General features: G+C 50.3%; 1 protein-coding gene across 5 annotated transcripts in view, besides 2 other annotated features; it reads right to left on the minus strand.

Moving 5' to 3' along the window:
* The window catches only part of LMO1 (LIM domain only 1), a 44479-nt gene that overhangs the window by 10037 nt on the left and 16579 nt on the right, over positions 1-17863 (minus strand). The window contains exon 1 of one of the 5 annotated variants that reach the window (XM_006718228.4): positions 210-1796. The exons of the other annotated variants lie outside the window; for them this stretch is intronic. Coding sequence (XP_006718291.1) covers positions 210-345 — 136 coding nt within the window. The 5' untranslated portion in view covers positions 346-1796. Of the gene's footprint in view, positions 1-209; positions 1797-17863 lie in introns of those variants that run through there. 5 annotated transcript variants of the gene reach the window in all.
* Positions 15801-16546: an enhancer, noted in NCBI's record as "H3K4me1 hESC enhancer chr11:8271693-8272438 (GRCh37/hg19 assembly coordinates)". NCBI's record gives its function as "activates a minimal SCP1, AML or CMV promoter by ChIP-STARR-seq in naive H9 embryonic stem cells {active_cell/tissue: H9 hESC(naive)}" and the evidence as "EXISTENCE:reporter gene assay evidence [ECO:0000049][PMID:30033119]".
* Positions 16547-17290: an enhancer, noted in NCBI's record as "H3K4me1 hESC enhancer chr11:8272439-8273182 (GRCh37/hg19 assembly coordinates)". NCBI's record gives its function as "activates a minimal SCP1, AML or CMV promoter by ChIP-STARR-seq in naive H9 embryonic stem cells {active_cell/tissue: H9 hESC(naive)}" and the evidence as "EXISTENCE:reporter gene assay evidence [ECO:0000049][PMID:30033119]".

The raw sequence follows: 17863 nt of genomic DNA on the forward strand, positions 1-17863 counted from the left end.
CCTCCAGCCCGGAGGAGAAATGCCCTCATCTTCACATGGACCCCAGAGCAGTCCACTAGGCCAGACCCAAGTCCCCAGCAACTCCTGCCCACCTGTCCCAGCCCAGCTGCCCCTCAGCTCCAGCACGTGGACTTTCCCAAACTGCCAAGCCCACAGGCTCCAGTACTACCAGTGCCCCTGGTTTGGATGGCAGCCTGGGGGATGCTTACCCCAGTGAGCTCCTCCAAGGCCACTCTTCCAGCCCAGAACGTCTACCTCACCCAGCTCCAGGTCACTCCAGGCTCTTCCCCGTGGCTCCCCTGCTGGAAGCCACTGTGGCCACCTCCTGGCAACTCCACTGGGCATCTGCAGCCCCTCCCACAAGCCAGTGTCTCCTGCTTGGCACTGCTGGCTCTGCCCCCTGCAGGATCCTGGAACACAGCTCCTCTCCCTCCCGCAAATGGATCTTGTTAGCTTGTGTCCCGGGGCCTTCACTCTGCTACTACTCCAGGAAGAAACGCCTTTGTCCTGCCCATCCCCACTCTCCCAAAAAGGTCAGAGTCAAGAGTGAGACTGAGGCTAAGAGTTCAGACCTTGAAATCAGGGAGCCTAGTTTCAAGTCGGAACTGCTCCAAGGAGCTGGGGGGCCTGGATTAAATCCCCCCACCTTTCTGACTGGCATGTGTGTACTGGGAGCCACAGTGGTCTTTCCGCTCAGAATGTGGTGAGGATAGAATGAGGTTCTTCTGCACATGAGGCCATAGCACAGAGTCTGGTGCCCAGGGCACAGTGAACAGGAACTGATAGTATTAACAGTCACCCCAGGATACCATCCCTGCTCGGGCACTTGCTTTCTTTTTCTTTTAACTTTTTGTCTCTTGACATAATTTCAAACTTTCAGAACACTTGCAAGAATAGTAGAAAAAATTCCTGTAAGCCCTTCACCCAGATTCCCTACATATAACATTTTACCACATTTGATTTAACCTCCATCTTTCTACCTACTTCTACCTACTTACCTATAATTTTTTCCCTAAATCATTTGAGAGTTGGTTTCAAACAGGAAGCCTCTATACCCCCTAATACTTTCGGTTTGCAAATGCTTTGCTGAAAACAAGGACATTCTCTTACATAACCACAGTATAATAATTGAAATCAGAAAATTATCATTGACATAACATTATTATCTAATCTATAGACCTCATTCAGATTTTACCAATTTCTTCAAAAATATCTTTTATGGAAAAATCCTGGGCCCTGCATCGCATTCAGTTGTCAAGTTTAGTCTACTTACATCTGGAAGAATTCCTAAACGTTTCTTTTGTGTTTCAAGACAATGGCATTTTTGAAGAGTACAGGCCAGTCATTTCATGGAATATCTCTCAATGTGGGTTTGTCTGACACTTTTGACTGTGTGACTTCGATTAACATTTTCTCAGTTTTCTTTTTTTGTGTAATGGGTATGAAAACAGTACTCATTTCCGAGTCACCATGAGAAAGAACGGAGTTAATTTATGTGATGTGCTAAGGACTAAGGGCCACAGCAAAACGTTCACTCTGATTAGTGTCACTCTCCTCAACACATGAGACAGGATAGTGAGAGACACTTATTTTGAGGAGCAACGAACTGATTTGATTGTTCTACTGTGGTTAAAGTCACCCTGGCACTGGCCATAGTCCAGCTCCACCCAAAGGCCAGTCTAGTGGTCAGTGCAAGTATGTGTAGAAGGAAGCCACCCTATCTGTCCAACAGGCTGTTCCAGTGACCAGCCACATGGGAAGCAGTTGCTGTGGCAACTCAGAGGGTGACAGCTCCAGGACCCTCTGGCTGCTCTGGAAAGAGCCCTGGAGGCAAGTGTAGCCTTGGTATTTTTTTTTTTTTTTAAAGACAGGGTCTTCCTCTGTCTCCCATGCTGGAGTGTAGTGATGTGGTCACAGCTCACTGCAGCCTCAACCTCCCGGCTTAAGCGATCCTCCTACCTCAGCCTCCTGCATCGGTGGGACCACAGGCACATACCACCAAGCCAGGCTAATTTTTGGGGGGAGGAATTTTTTTTTTTTTCAGAGACAAGGTCTCAACTATGTTGCCCAGGCTGGTCTCGAACTCCTGGGCTCAAGCAATCCTCCCACCTCAACTTCCCAAAGTGCTGGGGTTAGTAGGAGAAAGAGCTGGCCTGTGAACCCTGGCAGTCTATCTCTAGGGCCAAAGTACTGGACTCATGTGCTGTGCTGCAGGGCTGCATGCTGAGGGGGGCTGAGACCCAAGCAGGAGACTTCACAGAGCTTAGAAGACACACGGAGAGCATGCAGACACTCGCCACACAGCTGCAGGACACATGCACAGCAGCACACAGATACTTCCCCACGTCCACATGATCACACACGTACACTAGGTCCATGTGAGGAGGGACTGTGTCTGTTTTATTCTCCCCACAACAGTTTTATTTCAGTACCCAGCACAGCGCTGGCATACAGTAGGTGCTCAGTAAGTTGCATGAAAATACATACCCATGCATCTAAGCACACGCATGTGTGTGTATGAGCATGCGTTTTGGTGTGCTTATATAAATATACACTTATGCACAGATGCACACATATGCACAAGCAGCCGCACGCACGTTTAGTCTCTTAAAAGACTACAGTGTCAAAAAGTGGATCAGAGCTTAGAATCAAGCTCTGATTTCAACAAAACCCGCAAGTAAGAGGCCTGAAGATGGAAGGAAATGGAAGAGCATGAACCCTCTAGTGTTACCCTCATGGACCCACGTGCAACGTCAGACATTACCCAGAAGTTGATCCCACAATCCTTATGCCTACTTCAGCTGCTGGAGGTGGGGAGACTCACTCTCTGGGTCTCGGGGGTCTGGGTCCCTGTCACCTTGTAAGGTGCTTTGCCTGCCTGGGCCCACACCCAGGCCCGGGAACTGCAGGGTAGGATCCCAAACCAAGCCTACCAGCAGCCCCTCCTAGGCATCAATCCTCTTTAATAAGGAAATTTGAAAGTGTAATCTAACTCTGCAGAATCTCTTTAAATCTCGTTTTCTCAGAAGTAACTTCATTTCGCACGGACACATCCAGCCTTGTGAGAAGGCCTCCATTTCACACCAGTTTTATCTCCACAATTTCTCGTCTCACTGCACTCCTATTCCAGGGCCTTGCCATGCAGCAGGCGAGGCCTGAACTAATAGCATTTCCTACTCATTTGGAATCAAAAGCCAACGAGAACAACTGTTGAAACGCGCGGCTACAGCCACCCAGAGCACGCTCATTACCGCCCCTCTGCACACCCTCTTGCAGGCAGCGTGTTCACTGTGAGGATGAGGGAGAGAGGCAGGGGCTCCTATGGCCTCCAGCTCCCCACGAGGGCAGGGAGAGGAAGGCTGAGAGGCTAGGCTCCGCCCATGGGGTGGCAGTCAGCTCAGTAGAGGGACTGGCAGCTTTGACTCTGGTGCTGCTCACCCCTCAAGGGAGCTTGTGAGAAGAGGTGGGGTAGTGTAGGCCCTGAGACTGTGGGCCCTGCAGACACACAGCCTCGGCTTGAATTCTGGCTTTGGTGCTTCCCAGCTCTGCCTCAATTTACTAACCTGCTAAATGAGGACAGCCTACTTTAAAGGATTGAGGATTAAATTGGATAATCAACATGAAGTACTTATAACAATGTTTGGCATAGTAGCATAAAGCAATTAGCTGAGAAAATTTAGTTGTATCTTATGACCCAACAATTATATTCCTAGGTATATGCCCAACAGAAATGAGAGCTTATGTCCATCAAAACAGATGCACAAAAATGTTCATAGACGTTTTCTTCTTAGTAGCCCCACACTGAAAACAACATAAATGTCCATCAACAGTAAAACGAAATAAATTATGGTATATTCGTACAATGGAATAGTATGTAGCAATTAAAAAGAATGAATTACTAATATATACTACCTGGATGAATCAGACAATATAATATTGAATGAAAGAAGCTAGACACAAAAAGGTACATACTGTATAATTTCATTTATATGTAGCTCCCAAACAGGCAAAACCGATCTGATGTCAGAATAATGGTTGCTTGGAGGATGGGCGCGGTGGCTCACGCCTGTAATCCCAGCACTTTGGGAGGCTGAGGTAGGCGGATCATGAGGTCAAGAGATCGAGCCCATCCTGGCTAACACGGTGAAACCCCGTCTCTACTAAAAATACAAAAAATTAGCCAGCCGTGGTGGCGGGTGCCTGTAATCCCAGCTACTCGGGAGGCTGAGGCAGGAGAATGGCGTGAACCTGGGAGGCAGAGGTTGCAGTGAGCCAAGATCGCGCCACTGCACTCCAGCCTGGGCGACAGAGTGAGACTCCATCTCAAAAAAAAAAAAAAAAAAAAAAGAATACTGGTTACTTGGGGTGAGGTGGGGGACATATTATCAACTGAGAGGAGGACAAGGAGCCCAGTGTACTGAAAATGTCCTATGTCTTGATCTGAGTGTTGATATGGGTGCATACCTGTACAAAAATTCACTGAGCTGAACATTTGAGCCTTGAGCATTTAACTGCATATATGTGATACCCAATTTAAAAACGGAGCTGAGATGGAGATGCCCTCATCAGAGCTCTGTATGCCTTTCATAAACCCCACCATTTACTCAGCAGTCACTGTGCCAGGTGCTGGGCTAACCATCTTACAGTGTTATCTCAATGAATCTTCATATTAACTCTGATGCACTAAATGATTACCCCCATTTCACAGATGAGAAGACGGTGGCCTGGGAAGTTTCAGGTCATGCAAAGTCATGCAGCTAGGAGGCTGCAGGGCAGAGATTGGAATCCTGGCCTGTCAGAATCCAGAGTTCAAGTTCCCATCCAGCACACGCCCAGGGCTTCCCTGCACAGCCTGGATTCTCCGGTGCAGCCTGGATGCCAGATGGTGCTGGGGTGGGGGCTGGGGACATACTTAGATCAGGGCCCGGGCTAAAACCAAGAGGAATGACTGTCCATGCAGGGCACTGTCTCTGGGTGGACCACAGGACTTTCCCACTCATCTATTGGTTCTTCAAATGCTATGACTGCTGTGGGATCTTGAAAGGGCTTCTGGGCAGAGCCAGCAAGGGGGCATGGACCAGAAACTAAGTAAAAAGAGGGCACAGGGCTGGGAAGGGAGCAGAGGGCCATGTAGAAGCAGAGCCAAGATGTCTGCATCGCAGCTTTGAGAAGGACAAAGAAGCCTTGAGATGGCACACGTCCTCAGGAGGAGGCTGGGCTGGGGACTCCAGACCCAGGGCTATAATGATGGCAGGAGCCTCAACCAACAGCCAGGGCCTTGTGTGTGAATGAGGGGATGGGTAGGGCGGGGAGCAGAGAGGTCCTGGAGACAGGCCCAGCTCAGGGTGAGACATTTGGAGCTGAAGAAGTCCTGGAGAGGGGCCTGGTTCAGGGTGAAGTCCAGCAATGCTTGTCTGCTCTAAGTGCCAAGCTTCTCCTGCACGCTAGAGCCCACCACAGGAGGGAAGGCCTAAGGGAAGCACTGTCCAGTCTCACCCCCAGCACCTGCAGCCACCATAGTCATGTTCAACCAGATGACAGTAAACCATGTTACCCCTTACTGAGTGCCTGCTCTGTACCAGGAACATATGCTTGTCATGACCCTGAGTGCAGAGAACTCACCAACTTGCCCAAGGGTAAAGCCACCAGTGGCCAAAGCGAGGCTGCAGATCCAGGCTGCTGGCCAGGAGGCATCCACACCCTGCCTGCTGTGTCCCAGGGCCAGAGGCAGCATCACGTCATCTTTTCTCCAAGCAATGGGGAAAGTGAACTTGGACCCAATCTGGACCCTACCAAAAGAAGACGGCTCTGAAACACTCCTTGCAGGAATATAAAAGACCCCTTGTCAGGGAAAGGTTGGGCTGCTGATCCCCAGAGCTCCCCAGAGGGGCCATTTCCTGTGGAGGAGTACAAAGCGGGAAGCTTCATATGCTGCATTTTTGCAGTGCGTTTTGGTGAAGAATAACCTATCCTTAGGAATACTGCATCTAAAGCCTGAACTCACCATGACATAAAGGGACTGAGGAGTTTCCACACATCCCCCACAGATCTTCCTTGTTGAGGGAAGCTGACTCTGGTTTGGGGCAACAGCAACAGCCTAAGGGGACTGTCTTAGTCGGTTCAGGCTGCCATAACAGAATACCACAGACTGGGTGGCATATAAACAATTGAAATTTATTTCTCACAGTTCTGGAGGCTGGGAAATCCGAGAGCAAGGCACCAACAGATTCTGTGTCTGGTGAGAGTTGCTTCTTGGATCATTAGATGGCCATCTTCTTGCTGCATCCTCACGTGGCAGAAGGGGCAAGGGAGTTCTCTGTGGTCCCTTTTAAGAAGGCACCAATCCCATTCATGAGGGTTCTGCCCTCATGACCTAATCACCCCCAAACGGCCCCATCTCCTAACACTATCACATTGGGTGTTGGGATTTCAATATAAGAATTTTGGGAAGACACAAACACTCAGATCATAGAGAGCTTGCAGGAAGGCCTGGATGTAATTCTGGAGCATAGTGATTCTGGAGCAGGTGTAGATGCAGTCTGCTCTCACAGCCTCACATAATTTTCTGTGGTTCTTTAGTGGGGGGAATTTAGAAACATCAGAAGCTGCATGTGCTCACTGGAGTTTGTCACTTGGAATGAGGCTTACGTTAATTGCATAGTTATCTGTAATGTGTTCTCCTTCTCCAGGATGGGTATTGGCATTTTCTTTCCATTCTTTGGTTGTCTCTAGAAAGTCTCAGACATAGCTCAAAAACAACAGGTCCAAAGCAGGATTCCTGATTTCTTCCCCAAACCTGGCCCCTGTACCCTCACCCCAGACTTCCTCCCTCCCACACTATCATCCACCCAGCACTCTGGCCAGAAACTAAGTGTCGTCTTCAGACTTCCATCCCCCTCACCCCTTTCCCTGCCAACTCTTGCTCCTCATCCCACCTGCATCTTGCATTTCCACAGCCATCACCGTCTCTCGATGCACTGCCAGCATGGCATGATGTCTGGTACCCACAGCCAATTCTTCACACGGCAGCTGGAGAGATCTTCCAGATGAACCAGGGCAGGTCACTGCTCAACTTGAAACCCTTCCATAACATCCAATGGCCTGAGAATAACACCCAGACTCTTCATCCAGCCTGTAACATCTTCATGTGGTCTGGTGTCTGCCTTCCCCTCCCACACTGTGCTCCAGCCATACTCCAAACTCCTTCCTGCCTCAGGGCCTTTGCACATGCTATTACCTTCCCAGAACACCCTTCCCTGCCTCTGCCTCTGCATATACTTGGCTCCTTCTCATCTTCAAGCTTCAGCTTAAATGTCATCTCCTCAGAGAAGCCTTTCTTGACCTCCTTATTTCATTATTTAAATGAGCTCCCCACACTTCAGTAATTTCCTTCTGAGTTTTTCATCACAATTTGTAATTGTTTTACTTTTCTGTGAGTTTCAAAAAAAAAAAAAACAAAAAAAAGTCTGATTGATTGGGTACTCTCATAAGAACAAAAGCCCCATGAAGGCTGTTCTTGGGGCCCTACATGCCTTGTCCACTATTGTGTTCCCAGTGTTGTGCCCCACAGCAGTCATTGTTTAGCCATCAGCTCAATTCATGCATGAAGAGACTGAATGGAATCTATCCAGATATTACTGGCAAGAATCTGCTGGCCAGAGTGGGCCAATTCAGATAGGCAGGGCCCCTAGAGATGGAGCCTTAATCAGGCTTGTTGCTGCCCCTGTGCCACACCCCCTAGGTACCTGTAGCTATGTGGCCCTAACAAACAAAGCAGATTCAACCACAGCAGCTCCTGGGTCATGGCTGCCACAATCCAGGCTTTTGAGAAGCCATCCCAGGGCTCCAGCTGAGGAACAACAGCTCTCATGCAAATATAAACCCTTTATCCTTTAGATAAAAGAGCAGCAAAAACGCATCCTCCAGCCCCTGCCTCCACTGCGTGCCTCCCTTTACACATAAATACCCATCTCAGCCCTCAGGGGGTAGCGGGTATCTCTGTAATTCCAGCAGCTCTGGCTGTCACCTCTGGCACAGACCTAGCCTCCCCAGCTCCCTGCCTGAGGGTCTTTTTGGCTTACAAAAATGACTACTCTTCCCTGTCAGCATAGTCTGTGTCTCTGGGGGCCAGTGGGAGGAAGCGACCCCTGGAGTTTGCTACAGAAAAGCCCCAGGCCCAAGCCTTTCTCAGTCTGTAGCTTCCACCAACCCCCATCCCATCCTGGGCTGCTGGAGCCAGCCCCTGTGTTCCTTAACGGGATGCCGCTTGAAGCTGCACAGCTGTGGGGACTGGTGGAGAGCATCTGGAAGCTGTGTTCCCCTGACGGCAACTCAGCTGCTCCCTGGGCACCCGCAAAGCCCGCGTCACCCATCTAATGAAACAGGGCTCCCAAGAGGCCTGCAGTCTCCACAGAGGAGGAGGACATGGACTCTCAGACGAGTCTCAATTTCACAGCATCAGGGACGTGAGCACCAGCGCGCTGAACCAGAAAACGAGAGTCTGGCAGGAGCTGCAGACACACCATGAGCACCAGGGGATGGGAGATTAGGGCCCTTCAAAATCAATTTTGAATTCAAACTTTTAAATGTGTTCTCCAGGCACAAAGAGGGGACCCTCCCGGCAAGCTGGACCTAGGCAGCTGCCGGGTCCTGCTTCCTTCTTGAAGCCGCCAGAGCCCATCTGCTAGCCACGGGGCTGGGTGAGGGGAGGAAGGGCTGGGGGTTAAGAGGGAGAATCCAGGCCCCACCCCCAAGAGCGGCAGGGATGGAAACCCCTTTGGCTGGGGCTGAGACAGCACTGCCTCTGGGATGCCTGCCTGAGGCATTGCCCCGGGGCTTCCTATTGAGGCCCTGGGGGTTGCTTCAGCCCTTCTTTGCAGACCTGGATAAGAGAGAGAGACGCTGAAAGCAAGGCCCACGTGAGCCAGATTTCCCTTCAGCCCCCCGCATGGCTGAGGAGGTTCAGGGAGCATCCGTAGATGAAGCTGTTTAGAATACAAGCTTTGGAATCAGACAGTTTGGGATCTGTATCCTAAACCAGCCATGGGCTCCCAGGCAGAAGATCCTTGTTCAGAAGTGAATGTCTCTTCCGGAAACCTGGTGGGAGAAAGCCTGCTGTGAGTGTCTTGCAGTGCAGCCCCTGTGAAGTGAGAGTGGTCTGAAGCTCCCAAGTGCAAAGGGAAAGTGTCATCCCGTGTGAGAGTCAGCAGGGTGGGCCGGCTGCTGGGCAAGCTGGTATGGCCGCAGGCTGCATTATCCAGAGCACAGAGTCTGCAGCCAGGGAGCTGACAGCCATGCTGTCTGTCATCTGTCAGACCATGTCTGGAGTACAAGTACCATCTGGGCCCTGCACCCAGGTGAGGTGGACAAGGAGGCACGGGGTAGTGGGCCTCACCAAGCCAGAACAGACTGCTCTAGCCAAACCCTAGAAAGGGCCCCAGGCCCACAGTAGGAAGGCCTTTGGAGGCATGAGCCCACAGAGGATGTTCCTGGCAGCTTCGGCTGCAGCCCCCCACTCCTGCCTGGGTCCCTGTTGAGCCCCATTTGTGCCTCCCAGCCTATCATCAGCTCACAGTGCATGTGTTCCCCATCTCTGGGTGGGGAAGCTGGTCTATGACAAGATTCTTTGAGATCACTGACTCCCTCAGCCCCAGCCCCAGAGTTTTCCAAACCCCTGGCTAGCTCCCAACTTTAAGCCATACTCCTGACACATAAACATGAATGAGTGTGAACCACCCTGTGGGTAAGAGACAACAGAATACAGCCACCGTGGCCTCGGGCCTGCAGGGGCTTCACAGGGAGCCCTTTCTGGAATAAGGAGCACCGGGAAAGGAGGCTGGGGTCACCAGATCACATATAGGAGAGGAGGCAGGGACTCCCCAGCCCCTCCTAGCCCCCAGCTTGGGAGTGGGCTGCTGGCTTTGCAAGGAAATTACAACATGGGCCTGGGTAAGGCTCCTCTTAGTTACAGCATAAACTGCAGCAATAAAGCGTACCTGGGGAATGTTTAGAGAAAGCACTAATGATTTCTTCCCTAGTGGTTAATAAATTCACTTCCAGATCAATTTGTTCACGATAGAGCCCTGTGAGCGGAACCCGCATGGCGGGCACAGCCGAGTGTGTCTTTTTCAGTATAAATGATTTATTACGATGATTAGCAGCACATAAACAATTTAAAATACAACGCTAATTAGTTTGGGGAAGAAAGGAGGGGAAAAGCCACCCTGCCTCTCTCCCCATTATGTTCTACTTCCCTAAGTGTGTACTTTTTAATTAAATCCAAATGTCACAATAAACTTAAAGTGTTTTATTACCACTCGGGCTAACTGAGGCAGTCATGTGAGCCCCCCTCTCAGGCATCTGCAGGCTGGCCTGGGGGTAAGGGCTGGGGGCACCAGCAGAGGCTGTCCACAAACTCCCAACATGGGAGATCTCTTGAGAACCCTGGAAACCCCTCATGGTTTTCAGCAGCACCAGGTCAGTAAACACTGGGCCTTCCCAGGGGACTCTCCACCTTCTGCTCACCTTCCTGGCCAGCCCAAGCAAGGTCTCCTCCTTAAAGCCTGCTCTGACCAGCCCAGAAGCCAGCCACTTCTCCCCGACAGTTCCACAGTACCCTGCATCCTCTTCACCCCTCCTCGTGTGCCCTATAACCTTCTACCAACTACCTTCTGTGTGCCTGGTATCATGCCCGGCACTTCATGTACAGCATCTTCCCAAGTCCTTGTTGTGGTGCTGTAAGTTGTAATTATTGCTTCCATTTTGTGGATGGGGAAACTGAGGCTCAGAGAGGTGGAACAACTTATCTAAAGTCACACAGCTCAAAATGGACTTTTGTAGCATCCTTTGCCCTCCTACAGCATGCTCCGCTTCAGAGCCTACAACTGGCCATGTCTGGGCCCTGCCTTGCTTAGAGACACATCTGAGGCAAGGGTTCAGGCCAGGGACTTGGACTCTGGTGAGCCTGGGTTCAAGTTCAGGCTCTGCCATCGACCCATATTGTGAACTCCGGCAAGTCATTTAGCCTCTCTGAGCTTCAGCTTCCTCATCAGCAAAACTAGAGCAATAACATTCAACTTGTAGGGCTGAAGAATGAAAGTACCTAAAGCAAGCAGAAGTCCTTTGCTATCCTTGATATGCTAGGCAAGTAGTAGCTATTTACAGAAGCCCTTGAGGTGAGCAAAGATCCGTACTAACCCCACTTCATAGATCAGAAAACTGAAGCCAGCAGGCAAAAGATTTATCCAAAGTGCCAATGAACCCCAGGATCTCACTGGGGAAGTACCAGGCTAAGGGCAGCCTCCCTTCCGGAAGTTCGGACAACCAAGGATGGCTTCTCTCCTAAACACTCATGTACTATTCATTTGAATTTAAAAACAAATATCCCCAAACACAGAGTTTTCATATGACTCAGTGTGTTAATCTTTCTTGTGTTGCTATAAAGACATAGCTGAGGCTGGGTAATTTGTAAAGAAAAGAGGTTTAACTGGCTCACAGTTCTGTAGGTTGTACAAGCATGGTTCCAGCCTCTGCTCCTGGTGAGTCCTCAGGAAGCTTCCAATCATGACAGAAGAGGAAGGGGAAAAAGCAAGTCACATGGTGAGACTGGGAGCAAGGGAGATGGGGGAGGTGCCACACTCTTTTAAACAACAAGATTTTGAGTGAACTGAACAAGAACTCACTCATCACCAAGCGGATAGTGCTAAGCCATTCATGAGGGAGCCATCCCCGTGATCCAATCACCTCCCACCTGTCCCCACCTGCAACACTGGGAATCTCATTTCAACATGAGATTTGGAGGGGACAAACATCGAAACCATATCACCCAGCAACTCCCCTCCTAAGTATATCCCCAAGAAAAATGAAAATATAGGTCTTAACAAAAATTTGTACATGAACGTTCCTAGCAGCATTACTCACAACAGCCAAAAAACAGAAACAACCCAAATGTCCATCAATTGACAAACGAATAAATAAAACATGGTATATACATACAATGGAATATGATTTGGCCACAAAAAGAAATGAAGTACTGACATATGCTACATCATGAAGGAACCTTGCAAACATTATGCCAAGAAAGAAGGCAGATACAATAACCACATATTGCATGATTCCATTTATATGAAATGTCCAGAATAGGCAAAGCTATACAGACAGAAAGTAGTTTAGTGGTTGCCAGGGAGGGAGGAATGGGGAGTGACTGCTAATGGGCTGAAGGTTCTTTTTGAGGTGATAAAAATGTTTTTCAATTAGATAATGGTGATGACTGCATAACTCTGTGAATATACCAAAAACCACTAAAGTATCTATTTTAAAAAGGTTAATTTTGTGGTATGCAAATGATAAATCAATAAAGCTATTATAAAACAAAACAAACAAAAACAAATAAATATTCCTTTGAGAACAGGAGAAACCAGTTCATAAAATATTCAGTCCTGGGGTCAGCATAGCGGGGGAAATAACCTGTGGCAGCTAGAAGCTGCCAGGTGGGGGGACCTGGGAGGCCCCATGGCCAGCCTCACAGGGGGCAGGCCCTGGTCACCTCATCCCCCTGCTGGGATGAAAGGGATGAAAGGGCTCCAGAGCACCCCCTTACCTCCTTCCCCAGACCCCCACATCCAGAAATCTGACTCCATCCACTTTTCCAGCCCTGCTCCCCAGGAAACTCAAACCTTACTGGATCCATCACTCTCCTTGGCCCATCTGCTTCCACAACTGCATTCTCATTTTGTCTTCCCAGGTCTCTCTTTGTTGAAATTTCTGCATCCTTCAAGGACTATGCCCTACCTGCAAACTGAGCATGCCCATGGCAGGGGGGTCCCTCTTTCAGGACCTTGAGCTTGTCCTACCTTGGACACCACGAGTACATAACAGTATGTGCATAATGCTACATGCATAATGAATAGCATCATAGTAAGGACTCCCCCAGGCAGGGTTGGGTAAGGGATGCTGCCCTCTCCCAGGGCCTGTGAGCCCCACCTGGCACAGGGATGTGCCAGCTTAGATCCAGTCCACGAGGGTAGGAAGGAAAGCAACGAGGCTGCCTTTGAAGGGGGAGAGCACCATGCCCAGACTAGGGACAGCACCCTTTGTAGCTAATCTGAGAGGACAACCCAAAAAGATGAAGCATCCTGGCCAGCAGGGGGAGCTGGGGCCACACTGGGGCAGGGGCATTTGCCTGCCCCAGAGTTGGGAATGAGCAGGGATAGACTGAGAGTAGTCACAGCGGCTCAGGCCTCATCTCCGCAGAGGCGACCAGCCTCCAATCCTCCCACAATGGAGAGAGCCCTATGGAGGGGACAGGACAGGTCTGGTCACTTGAAAGGACTATCTGGGCCTTGAAGCAAGTGGACACATGCTCGTTTTCTAGTCATTAGGTCAGTTCCCTGAGTCTACATGGATTCAACATGAAATGCTGTCTTGGGAAGCTGCCCCTTAGGGAAACTACCCTTGGAACTTCTCTAAATTTCTCCCCCAAAGTTCTATGAGGCCCAGGGATGAGAAGACTTCTCAAGGTAAGGGGTGGCAGGAGTACATGTTGCAAGTACCTTCCCTTTATGTAGCCACTGTGTTCTCACCAACACCTCCTCGGGTGGGCACAGTGCTGCCTGGCTGGCAAAACACATGAAAACATTTTCTGTCATTTGAGTTCTGTGCAGGGGGCAGGGAGGATGTTCTGGGTCTTAACTTACGTGACCAGGGCTCAGAAAAGTTAAGTGGTTTGCCCAATAACACACAGCAGTGGGTGGTAGAGCAAGATTGCCCGTGATCTCACAGTCAGAGGACCACAGTCCATGCTTGTTACCTCCCAAGTCAAAAGACAGCTACCCCTGCAGCAAGCGGTCAGGCCCTCATGCCGCTGCCGTCAATTTCAAAGAATTCTAAAGATTTCACATCTGCATGTATCTGAGCTGGTGCTCTTGGGGGTTCTCTCTCCTTGGAAGAGTGAGTCCGAAGCCTTTGCCATGGAAGGGAGGGCAGGATTCCTGGTAGTATGGACCACAGGGAGAAGAGTGTGTGCCCTTGAGACAGCATGGAGTGGGCTGGTGGGTCTCCAGGCCCTGGGCAGCCAGGCAGGAGTGGTGCCCATGCACCACATAGACACCTGAGTCTACAGACAGACCACTATACAGACCTCTCCCCTGAGGGACAGCTCATTGCAGAGGCAAGACCTTAGGCATAGTTCCCAGACTCCACAGAGGTGCTCTGCAGCCTCAGACAAGTTCTGCTCTTCTCTGGACTGATCTTAGTTGAATATAACTGGGGGTGGACTGGAGTAGAAATAGGTAAGGGTAGGGAGACCGTGAGCCACGCCTCTTTCCCAGAATCAGCAGCTTTCATGAAAGCCATTCGGGAGAAAGAACACTGGCCCAGAGTGGGAGGGCCAAGAAACACTTTACAGACAGATCAGAGGAGGTCAGAGGAGTCAGGGACTGATCCATGGGTGGCTGGATAGGTCTAGACTTGCTGCCTCCCAGTCCTACTGTCCTCCTACCTGCCTCAGGCCCACAGTCTTTGGCTCCCTCCCTCAGAGCCTAGAAAGCCAGGATTGTGGTCCAGTCTTGACAGCAGCAGAGGGGGAAGTGAAGGGTCAGGGAAGCCTTCAGGCCAAAGCTGGGCTGGGCAAGCAAGGGCCTCAGGGACAAAGCTGGGCAAGGACAGGCTTGCAGCCAGGGGCTCTGGTCTACCTTCCCTGGAGCTCAACTCCAGCTCTGGCCACAAGTTCAAGCCCTGCTACGGGGAGCTGAGCAGCTCCAGCCAGGATCTTGACCACCAGTAGACCTCAGATGAGCTCCCATTCCCAAGGCCACAGCTTCAGCACAGTTTCTCTCCTAGACCTCAACTGCCTCCTCTGACCAACCCAGACCCTCACCTGCCTCACCCTGCACAGACCCAGACTGCGAGCTCTGGACGAAACTGAAGGGAGGCAGACAGGAGTGTGGGGCCGTCTGAAGCCAGAGGGATGAGGAGAGGTCCATCTATAAAGCTGAAAAAGAACCCCTCCCTCCCCATCATATGCTGCTTTCTCTGCCTCTAGTTTTATCCCCTCCCATTTGCTCTCCACAGAGTAAACCAAATGGTCTTAATAAAATGTAAATTTGAGCATGAGTCTTGCTTCTACCTAAAGCCATTCAAAGGTGTCTCGTTGTACACATGGACATAAAGATGGGAACAACAGACACTGATGCGTGATAGGATCTGTCATACCCCGAACCTCAGCATCATGCAGTATGCCCATGTAACATGTAACAAACCTGCACATGTGCCCCAAGGATGTGGAGAAACTGGAACTCCTACCCACGGCCTGCAAGGCTCTGCACAATGTAGCGCTGCCAACCCTGACCACCCTGCAGCCTCACTGATGATGCCCCAAGCTCCAGTCACAATGGCCTCTGCAGTCTTGAACTTGGGGTTCCTTGTCCTCTCTCTGAGACAAAGGAATCCTTATGATTCTCTCCAATCCTCTCCTGACCTCCTTCACCTGTAAACTCATTCATTCATTATCCGCTCAACAAATATTTACTAAGCATCTACCAGCAGGGGCTAGCCCTTAACATCTACATTTTGATAAAAATTATACCAAAACTGAGGATTTTTCATCAAGAAAGTAACTCTTAATGAGCTTCATTAAGTCAATTTAATTCCTTGATCACTTTTCTATTCATTCATGTTAAACCATTTCTTCACCTTTCCCCATTTTTTTTTTATTTTTGTGGAGATTATTTTCATCGGGATCAATTATTTTTAAATTGTTGAAGGTGACTATTGGCTTACGATCAGCTTTTGGCTCACTGTAGATCTCACAAATTAGAGTTTTTGCCACTGTCAGGATTTCTTTTCTGGCAATTATTTCTACCAGAAAATGTTTCCTGAGCCAACTTCTGCAGATCTAAACTTTGTCAGGAAGATTTGATTCTTCTGTCAATTTTTAGTCAATAACATACTTTACCAGGTGCAGTCTTAGTTGTCGCCAGTTTTACTTTGTGTTAATTATTTCAACCAATTTTAATTTCTTCCTGGATCTTTTTTTTGAGAATAATATCTCAATAATACTAATGAGATCTTATGCTCATGTAGAAGGCATATTTTAGCAGTGATCTGATAAACACTCCGAGGATCAAAGAATAGCATGAAAACATCCTCAGGGCACAAAGGCAGGTCAAAGCATTGAACTCTGCATTTGGGTGGAGTACCAGCTTGGAACCAGGTGCCTGAGGGAGCCCTGCCCACTGCCCACTGCTCCCTGGAGCCCTGGCCCCTGCCAAGAAGATGCCTCACAGATGGGAAACAGCTTCTGGCTCGGGGGAGAGCAGCTGCCTGGAAGAGACAGCCTCTGACTGACAGGCAAAGAGCTGGGGTGCAGCCCGAGGCCCCATGCCAGTCGGATGCAGCCTCTGCTGGGCACAGACATTTCTACTCAGAAAGTATTTCAGAAACACTCAGCTGAGAAAGGAAGCAGACGCTTCTCAGTGCCTTAGTTTCCCCAGCCATAAAAGGATGTAATTGGGGTACTCTCAGCCCTAGGCTATGACTTCCACTCACTGGCCTCCAGGCTTTGAACCTGCTCCAGGGGTCCCCTCTACCTCCTAATTGAGACTCTACCTGGAAACAGCAGGGGACAGGGCCTTCCACCTGGATTCGAGTGTGACAAGACCAAGTGTGGAGGGCTAAGGGCAACAGATGCTCTCACCTGGGAAACTGTGTGTCCCAACCCCAGAAGTCCAGTGAAAGAGAAAGAGACCTCACTGGGAGTTCCTTTCTGCTGGCCTGGCCCTGCCACACCCATTCCCCAACAGTCATGTCTCCATATATGGCACCACAAGGTATGAAGCCAGCAGCCACCCTGGGAATGCAAATGGGGAAACCAAGACCCAGAAAGGGGAAGGGACCAGCCTAAGGACACACTGTGAGGTGGTGGCAGAGCTGGGATGTGGATGCAGCAGTTCTGGCTCCCAGCCCCGTGCTCACCAGCCTGTTTATGGGAGTGCTCCAGCCCACAGGAGAGCCTCCTCCACCCTGCTCCCACGTGAGGAACTGCCGACACTACCTTTACCCAGCCTGCCTCAAAAATGCCGCCTCCACCGCCCCGTAACAGCCAGGAAAGAAGCGGGGCCCTCAATCCAACAGCAGCGGGGAGGCTGGCTCAGGAAGGAACCACCCTCACCTCCTCTGCGGGTATCATCCCTGCGGACTGAGAAGAGAGGCCCTGGGGTGAGAGACCCCACTGGGGTGGCTTTGTAGGGCCCTCCCAGCCTTGGAAAACTGACCATCTGTGAGAAAAAAATCCAGCAGCCCCCGGCGCTGGTCCAGGGGTGTGTGTTTGTGTGTGAGAGAGAGAGAGTGCATGTGTCTGCCTGTGCAGGTAGGTGTGCGTGTGGTGTGTATGGGGGGGGTATAGGGGTGTGGTATGTGTGTGTGGTGTGTGTGGAGGGGTGGAGGGGTGTGGAGTGCGTGTGTGAGTGTGTGTGAGAGTGCATGTGTCTGCCTGTGTGGTGGGTGTGCGTGTGTGTGTGAATGTGTGTGAGTGTGTGTGTGTATAGGTGTGTATGGGAGTGTGTGGTGGGTGTGTGGTGGGTGTGTAATGTGTGTGAATGTATGTGGGAGTGTGTGTTTGTGTGTGGGGGTGTGCGTGTGTGGGGGTGTGCGTGTGTGTGTGTGAATGTGTGTGAGTGTGTGTGTGAGCATGTGTGTGTGTCCACACATATTCAGCACCATCCCTCCCACAGCTACAGCCAAGGAGGGCCTGTGAGTGTCTTTACCGCCACCTCCCCAGGCTCATGGCAGGCGGGGCCTGTTTCTCGCCTAAACTCTTCAACATGCCAACTTGCTGGGGTATCCCAGCCAAGTGTCTTTTCCTCTC

This window comes from Homo sapiens, chromosome 11, assembly GCF_000001405.40.
Source record: "Homo sapiens chromosome 11, GRCh38.p14 Primary Assembly".
Taxonomy (NCBI): domain Eukaryota; kingdom Metazoa; phylum Chordata; class Mammalia; order Primates; family Hominidae; genus Homo; species Homo sapiens.